The 7,479-nt window shown below is 53.8% G+C and overlaps 1 protein-coding gene and 1 long non-coding RNA gene across 7 annotated transcripts, besides 4 other annotated features; one reads left to right on the plus strand and one right to left on the minus strand.

Moving 5' to 3' along the window:
* Positions 1-972: 972 nt before the first annotated feature.
* Positions 973-4,464, minus strand: SERTAD3 (SERTA domain containing 3). Of its 6 annotated transcripts, none has more exons than XM_047438716.1 (3): positions 4,344-4,464; positions 2,618-2,744; positions 973-2,215 (listed from the first exon to the last, which is right to left on the minus strand). In XM_047438716.1, exons 2-3 carry the CDS (start codon positions 2,681-2,683, stop codon positions 1,619-1,621), a joined length of 663 nt encoding a protein of 220 aa, XP_047294672.1. In that variant the 5' UTR covers positions 2,684-2,744; positions 4,344-4,464; the 3' UTR covers positions 973-1,618. The 6 variants fall into 6 exon arrangements, with proteins under 6 accessions (XP_047294672.1, XP_047294673.1, NP_976219.1 ...); XM_047438717.1 differs by lacking the exon at positions 4,344-4,464 and adding an exon at positions 3,984-4,206; NM_203344.3 differs by lacking the exon at positions 2,618-2,744.
* Positions 3,311-3,690: a silencer, noted in NCBI's record as "silent region_10626". NCBI's record gives its function as "represses an Ori minimal core promoter by ATAC-STARR-seq in GM12878 lymphoblastoid cells {active_cell/tissue: GM12878}" and the evidence as "EXISTENCE:reporter gene assay evidence [ECO:0000049][PMID:35858748]".
* Positions 4,156-4,215: a silencer, noted in NCBI's record as "silent region_10627". NCBI's record gives its function as "represses an Ori minimal core promoter by ATAC-STARR-seq in GM12878 lymphoblastoid cells {active_cell/tissue: GM12878}" and the evidence as "EXISTENCE:reporter gene assay evidence [ECO:0000049][PMID:35858748]".
* Positions 4,396-4,715: a silencer, noted in NCBI's record as "silent region_10628". NCBI's record gives its function as "represses an Ori minimal core promoter by ATAC-STARR-seq in GM12878 lymphoblastoid cells {active_cell/tissue: GM12878}" and the evidence as "EXISTENCE:reporter gene assay evidence [ECO:0000049][PMID:35858748]".
* On the plus strand, positions 4,646-5,392 carry SERTAD3-AS1 (SERTAD3 antisense RNA 1). Its single transcript, NR_187496.1, has 2 exons — positions 4,646-4,757; positions 5,019-5,392. It is a non-coding gene; the product is annotated as an SERTAD3 antisense RNA 1 (long non-coding RNA).
* Positions 4,776-4,995: a silencer, noted in NCBI's record as "silent region_10629". NCBI's record gives its function as "represses an Ori minimal core promoter by ATAC-STARR-seq in GM12878 lymphoblastoid cells {active_cell/tissue: GM12878}" and the evidence as "EXISTENCE:reporter gene assay evidence [ECO:0000049][PMID:35858748]".
* Positions 5,393-7,479: the final 2,087 nt, after the last annotated feature.

Raw genomic sequence — 7,479 nt, forward strand, 5'->3', positions numbered from 1 at the left:
TCTATTTTAAAAAAAATACAAAAATTAGCTGGGCGTGGTGGCAAGCACCTGTAGTCACTGCTATTCGGGAGGCTGAGGCAGGAGAATTGCCTGAACCCGGGAGTGGAGGTTGCAGTGAGCCAAAATCCTGTCATTGCACTCCAGCCTGGGTGACAGAGTGAGACTCCGTCTCAAAAAAAAAAAAAAAAAAAAAGCATTAGCACTATAAATCTAATCTGGGCTCTGCTTCCTAGCCAACTCTCCTAAAGAGGTCTTTTAGTACTGGGGGTCTTTGGGCATTTTCTTGCCCCTCTGGGCTCAGCAGCACATTCAGTGACACATACTCCGTGTGACTCAGTTTCTCCCTCCTGTGCCCACCCACGTGGCTGGTTAGTCTAAGAAGCAACATTTATAATAGTGAAGGACAAGGCTCTGGAGGCCATTTCAGCCTAGCTCCCTGGTCCTTGTTCTTCCTAGCTGTGTGGCTCTGAATTAAGTGACTTGTCCTCTCTAAACTTCTGGTTCCTCCTGTATAAAAAGTGGTAACAGTACTTACTTCTATATGAGGATTAACAGACTTAATTCAAATAAAGTGGCTAGAACAGTGCTCTTAACAAGCACTAATTTTTTTCTGAGGCTGGAGTGCAGTGGTGTGACCATGGCTTACTGCAGCCTCAACCTCCCAGGCTCAGGTGATCCTCCCAACTCAGCCTCCCCAGTAACTGGGACTACAGGCCGCCATGCCTAGCTCCTTTTTGTATTTTTTGTAGAGGCAGTGTTTCGCCACATTTCCCAGGCTGGCCTCAAGCAGATCCTCCCAAAGTGCTAGGATTCCAAGTGGGAGCTAGAGCACTCAGCCAACAAGCACTCAATAAATGTCATGTACAATGATACACCTACCCCAGCTATGGCACGGAAGTGGTGCTGATGTTTAGGAACTTACCAGGTCCCTCCCACTGACCCAGTGAAGTTTAGAAACATTAGACAACATCCCTCCTTCCAAAATACTTTTATTTAAAAAAATTACAAACAATCCAAAAAAAAAAAAAAAAGCCACCACAAACTCTGCCTTTCTTTTAAATAACCCGGCATGGAGCAGTTTGGTTTCCACCCTATTGCACGTGGTCCGGCCTGGTTATGAAATCAGGAGGCTGCTGAGACTGGGGTCCTGCCGAGGAAGTGGGGTTCAGCCTGGAGGGAGGACACCAGCCCCTCCCACCCCCTCAAGGTGCAAGAGGCAGAGCCTGGGTTTCTATAGCAACCTGGCAGCACATCCCTGTCATCCTTCGACAGGCCCAGCTTTCTTTATCTTCCCTGAGGCCCCAGTGGTCACAGGGGAGTGGGAACTAGCAGGAAAGGTGGAAGAAATGTGTAAGTGGAAAATCAGACTCCCAGAAACAGAGTCTCGTTAAGGCATTTGGAATAGATAAATTAATTCAGGAAGACCCACCTTCACAGAAGGTCGGGGTAACCAGACACACACACACATGCAAGACAGTTTGTGGAACCCTGAAATGGGAACAAAGGAGGCCATAGTCACTGCTTCGAGCCCCCACAAAAACACACACCCAGAGTTGCATTCAGGGATCCAGGCCACCGAAGATGACATGAGGAAGGATCGATCCCCTCTATCACAGTTTTAGGACCCCAGAATGATTTCCATGATGTGATCCAGTTCATTCCACTCCCAAGAACCTGGGGCACAGAAGAGGTTGTGAGGAGGCTCTGGTGGGGCCCGTGCAGGCTCCTTTTCTACCGCAGATGTGTCAATGTCCAGAAAGAAGTCATCCAGGCCAGAGTCCCCCAAGTACCGGGAGCTCAGAGCTTCTAAGAAGACTGGATCAGGCTGGGGTGGCACTTCATTCTGGAGGCCAAGGGGAGTCACTGGATTCTGAGGGGGCTCAGTCCCATCCATGGAGGTGTCCAGCTCCCTGAGGATAGAGCCAATGGTGGCTGACAGGGAGAAATCCTCCTCGCCCAGGAAGAGGGGCTCGGGGGGCAGGGCAGGGGCGGGAGCCAGGCGAAGTGCAGCCTGCAGCTGTTGGAGGGTGTTATGGATGAGGACATGCCTGCGGAGGCTGGGTGCTCGGGGGCCCAGGCTGCGCTGGACTTTGTCTAGGGAGATGCGGAGCAGGGCTTGCTGGTAGCTCTGAAGGCCTGCTGGACTCCACTCCCACCTCTCCTCCTCCTCTTCCAAATCAGAGTGTTTCCTCTTCAAGCCTCCCACCATGATGCCCTGTAGAGAGAAGAGGCGCATAGGGGAAGGTCAGACACCAGACACCGTAGTGCTGGCTCATATCCCACTTTCTCAGGCCTATTGAGTTGTTAGTGATTTTTAATCATCGGAATCTCAGTTTACTGATGTATAAAATGAAGGCTGTCTGAATCCTACAAGTTTAAGAAGGTGAGTACATATACGATTAAGAAAATAAGATCTGGCGTTACGTACAGCTAGATTTAAATCTCACTTACTTGCCTGTTGTGGCCTCAAACAGTGAATTTACATCCATGAGAATCAATTTCCTCATCTGCCAAGTACGGATCCTAACTCAAGTTCCTCTAAGCCTTAAAACTGTTCTTCCACAATATTAATTTCTTCAAACATGGAGCACGAAAGACAAGTGTGGAGCACAGAGACCTGGATTGGAAGTAGGGAACCCCAAATCTGAATTCTGTATTGGAAACTGCTCAGCTGCGTGATCATGGGAAGTGATCTGAATGAGTCAATTCTCAGGGCCTCAGTTTCCTCATCTGTAAAATAGGGACTGTAAAAAAATACTTCTCACCACCTCTGTCAAGGAGATGCCACGTATCTATAGGGCCCACCACACCGGAAGTGCTTAATGAACAAGAGTTGTGTTTGTTTTTTGTTAGAGACAGGGTCTCGCTCTGTCGCCCAGGGCTGAGTGCAGCAGCGCTATCACAGCTCACTGCAGTCTCGAAGTCCTGGGCTCAAGCGATCCTCCCGCCTCAGCTTCCTGAGTAGCTGGGATTACCACCACACCCGGCCTCGATCAAGAGTTAATTGCCAGTTATTCGCTCAACAGATTTACTGAGTGCCTACTATATTCGAAATCTCCTGGAGCCCTGTTGGGGAACCTATGTTGAGATTCTTCTTCAACAGTCGGGATATTTCTATGTCCTCTTCCTTAACCGACTGGGAGCGCTCCCAAGAGTAGGAAAGGGGCCTGTCTCATTCCCTCTGCCCACGCTTTCAGATTCCCCCAAAGCGCGCCCCATAGGAAAACTTGCTAGAACTCAGCTCAGACCAAGCCCCGCCCCCTCGGAGGTCCCACTCAATCAGACCGCGACACTGTAAGGCCCCGCCCCCCCATGGGTCCTTACAGAGCATCCAGGAACGCCCCAATTTGGCCCAGGGGCTTCTGGGAAACGGGGGCCAACAGCCGCCAGGTACACGAATTGACGTCGAGCACGCACTACAATCCCCAGAGGGCTCCGCCCGTCCAGGGGACGAGCCACCCCCCTCACCCCGCTCTCCCTCAGGGCATGCGCACAGGGGCACAGGCGGGTGGGGGAAGGGAACCTGGACGTCCAGCTGCCGGCGCCTGCCGAGCCCCGCCCTCCATTGCCTCCGGGGCCGCGAGTCTGAGCTCCAGGCCCGGAACACCCCTCCCCCACCCCAGACTCCGGCTCTAAATTTGCTTTCTCCCGGTCCCTCTGTTCCTTGAAAGTCCGCGATTCTCCTTCCAAACTGCCCTTGGATCCAGAGACCCAGATCCGAACACATCGCTCAAAGACGACAATGCTCCGATCTAGTTCGGGAGACTACGTATCCTAATTCTGATACTTCCTCCCACTTCTCCTAGTCTCCTGACTTTCAAACGCCCCTGGACTTCACCTCCAAACTCGCTGTCCGGCTCCAAGACCCGAACATTGAACTCTTCCCGGCAACCTCCTTCCCCCGCCAGTGCGTCTTGGAGTCCCAAGAATCCTTGACCCTAGTTCTCTCGCTTCTCCAAATACTCAGAATCTCAGCTCCGTACCTCTCACACCTTTTCCAGAACACGATAAAGCCCCGAATTCAACCCGTCCGGAAGACCCAAGTGGAATCGAATCTCCAGGTTCCCTGTCTCAAAAGTTCCTCCCCTCTGTTCTCTCGCTTCTCCAAAAGCCCAACGTCCCAGCTTCAAACTCCCTCCACTTGAAAATACTGCCCCAACAACCTCGCCTCCCCTCCTGGGTCTTGAACTCAGTCTCAGGTCCCCAGACCCTCCCTATCATCACCCTGAATCTGAGGCCCCCTCCCCCGGTCCCACCCAGACCCCGCCTCCGCAAGTCCCCGGGGCGCGCTTCTCTCTCCCCCAGCCTAAGGTAAATTCCCAAGCCAGGCGACCACTCCTCACCGCAGCTGCCAGGTTCGCCACGACCACCTCCTGGAACGCCCACAGCGTTGCGACCCGCCAGTGCCAGGACCCACCAGTGACCGGTTGGAGCCTCGCTCACCTCGGCGGGGCCTCTCCGTCTGGCCTCTGGCCCACCAGCCCCGCCCCGGAGCCGAGCCGCGAGCCGCGATTGGCTGGAGTCCCGCCCGCCGCGGGGCGTCGATTGGCTGGGCGGAGCCATCCGCCCGTGCCCCGAGACGCCGGATCCGCCCACCCCTCCCTAGCGCCCCGGGCCATTTAAAGAAGTGCAACTGGCAGGGGGCGGGGCAGCGACTCCGGGGTGGAGGGCGGCCGGTCCAACAGAACCGCTTCCTTCCACTCAGCTACAGTCCTCGCTCCAAGATCGTCACCATTGCTCCCTGCGGTTCCTTTATGGTAGGCCTGGACTCCACCGTGGAGCCAGAGGGGCTGGCATGCCCCTCCCCAAGTCGCTGTGCAGGCGGGCGGGGCCGAGCAACCGGAGGAGGCCGCGCCCCCGGGGTTCCGAGGGAGGACGCTGGGGCGCGGGGGATGACGTAGCGGAAGACCAGCCAATAGAGTGGCGCGGCCCGCGTTGCCTAGGCGATCGTAGCCTCGCCCCCTTGCTGCCCCTCCCGCCCCCTATACGTTACCGCGCGGCCCCTTCTTAATCCTCAGGTTTTCTCAGCACGTCCTCTGGTGGTCCCACCTGGGTCTTCTGACACCCTCTTTCCTTCCCCGCTCCATCAAGATGACTCCTCTGCTACTGTTCATGGCTTCCTACCCACCCCGAATACAAACTTCAAACTCCTTCCTTTTGCCACAAAGCCCCTCACGACCTTGCTTGATGCGTTCTCCTGGTTCTCTCCGATCCTGCCCCATTGAGTCACTTCCAGTTTTTCTAAAATGGCTTCAAGCTCCCATTCACCCCATCAGGAAAACGAAAGGATTTTCTCTGTTTGTTTTCTTCCCTGCTTTACCCCAGTGTCTACAACAATGCCAGGTACATAATAAGTTCGCAAACATGACAATAAAAGGCCTCTGGATCTTTATTATTAATATTATTTTTTGCCGGGCGCAGTGGCGCACGCCTGTAATCCCAGCACTTTGGGAGGCGGAGGCGGGCAGATCACTTGAGGTCAGGAGTTTGAGACCAGCCTGGCCAACAATGGTGAAACCCCGTCTCTACTAAAAATACAAAAATTAGCTGGGCGTGGTGGCGCACGCTTGTAATCTCAGCCACTTGGGAGGCTGAGGCAGGAGAATCGCTTGAACCTGGGAGGTTGAGGTTGCAGTGAAGGCGAGATCGTGCCACTGCACTCCAGCCTGGGTGACAGAGAGATGGGGGAGGGGGGAGGGGGGTTTTCTTGTGTTGCCCAGGTTGGTTTTGAACTCCTGGCCTCAAGCAATCTTCTCGCCTCTGGATATTTAAACTTGTTTCCTCATCCTCAAAATATACCCTCAATTCCCAGGCTGCTTCTCAGAACACATTTCAAAGGTTTCCTCCTCTCCGAAGCCCTCCCTGGCAGTCCAGGTTGGGTTAGGATCCATTCTAGGATTCCATGGCCTCCTGTGCCGCCATCCCAGTCCTGGACTGTCAGTTACTATATGGACTGAGGAACGCCCCGCCGAGGGCAGGTACCAAGGATATCTCTGTCAACCACCTCTTGGTCTGCAGGATCACCTAGCACAGGGCTGGACACGTAGCAGGTCCCAGTGAAAGTTTGCTAAATGCTCAGGAATGTGACAGAAAAATAAGGCAGAAAGAAGACACTGCTAGTGTCCTGAAAGCCCACACCCGTAATGCTCCGCCCCTACAACGAGTTTCCCTAAGGGGAGGAGGCAGTTTTCTCCAGGCCACCTCTGGGAAGGGAGGTTTAAGCCTCCTCAGACCAGTTCTTGCCGGTTGGAGTTTGTCAACCAAGTCATCCTGATGTTTGCAGGATAAATGGGAGGGGAATAGGTAGGTGGGTGGTGTGGGTTGGAGGTAGGGAGAGAGAAGTGTCTTAGCTCACCCAGGCCTAGGGAAGGTGTCCCTGGGAAAAAAAGAAAGGGACAGTAGGTTCCAAAAAAGGACATAATTAGGAAGGAGCAATTCTTCCCCTTCCTCCTCCAAAACCTGCGCCTCCTATAGGGTCCACAACTCAGGAAAGCCCTACTGCATTTGGGTTTTTGTTTTTGAGACGGGGTCCCACTCCGTCGTGGATGCTGGAGTGCAGTGGCGCACCTTGGCTCACTGCAGCCTCAGCCTCCCTCCTGAAGCACTAGTGTAACTCTGTCCCCGGGTTACAGCCGTATGCTTCTTTCTGATGCCTCCCCTCCACCCCTCACCAACTGTCCACGCAGGCTCCCAGGCATTCCTCACACCCACTCTCTCCTCCCCTCCTTACAGTTCCTCCTCCAACTCCCTCTGGGCTATCAGCCTCCATTCCTGGACCCTTCCTTTCCACCTTCACAGAGTAGCCAAAGGAAGCTTCATAAAACACCCAACTGTCCCCCCTGCCTTACTTCTCTGGTGCTCCACTCCTTGCATAAATCCTCAAAATAAAGCACAAACTTTTTTTTATTTTCAGAGACAGGGTCTGGATCTGTCCTACAGGCTGGAGTGCAGTGGCCAGGCCTTGACCTCCTGGCCTCAAGCCATTCTCCCGCCTCAGCCTCCTGAGTATCTGGGACTACAGGTACACACCACCATGCCCAGCTAAGTTTTTAAAAATTATTTTGTAGAGATGGGGTCTCACTATGTTGCCCAACCTGGACTCCTGGCTTCAAGCCATCCTCCCACCTCAGCTTCCTGAGTATCTGGGACTATAGGTGCACACCACCATGCCCAGCTAAGTTATTATTATTATTATTATTGAGATGGAGTCTCGCTCTGTCACCCAGGCTGGAGTGCAGTGGCACAATCTCGGATCACTGCAACCTCCACCTCCCAGGTTCAAGCGATTCTCCTGCCTCAGCCTCCTAAGTAGCTGGGATTACAAGTGTGCATCACCACGCCTGGGTAATTTTTGTATTTTTAGTAGAGACAGGGTTTCACCATGTTCGCCAGGCTGGTCTTGAACTCCTGACCTCAAGTGATCTACCCGCCTCGGCCTCCCAATGTGCTGGGATTCCAAGCATGAGCCACCATGCCTGG

The sequence above is a fragment of the Homo sapiens genome, chromosome 19, assembly GCF_000001405.40.
Source record: "Homo sapiens chromosome 19, GRCh38.p14 Primary Assembly".
NCBI lineage: Eukaryota > Metazoa > Chordata > Mammalia > Primates > Hominidae > Homo > Homo sapiens.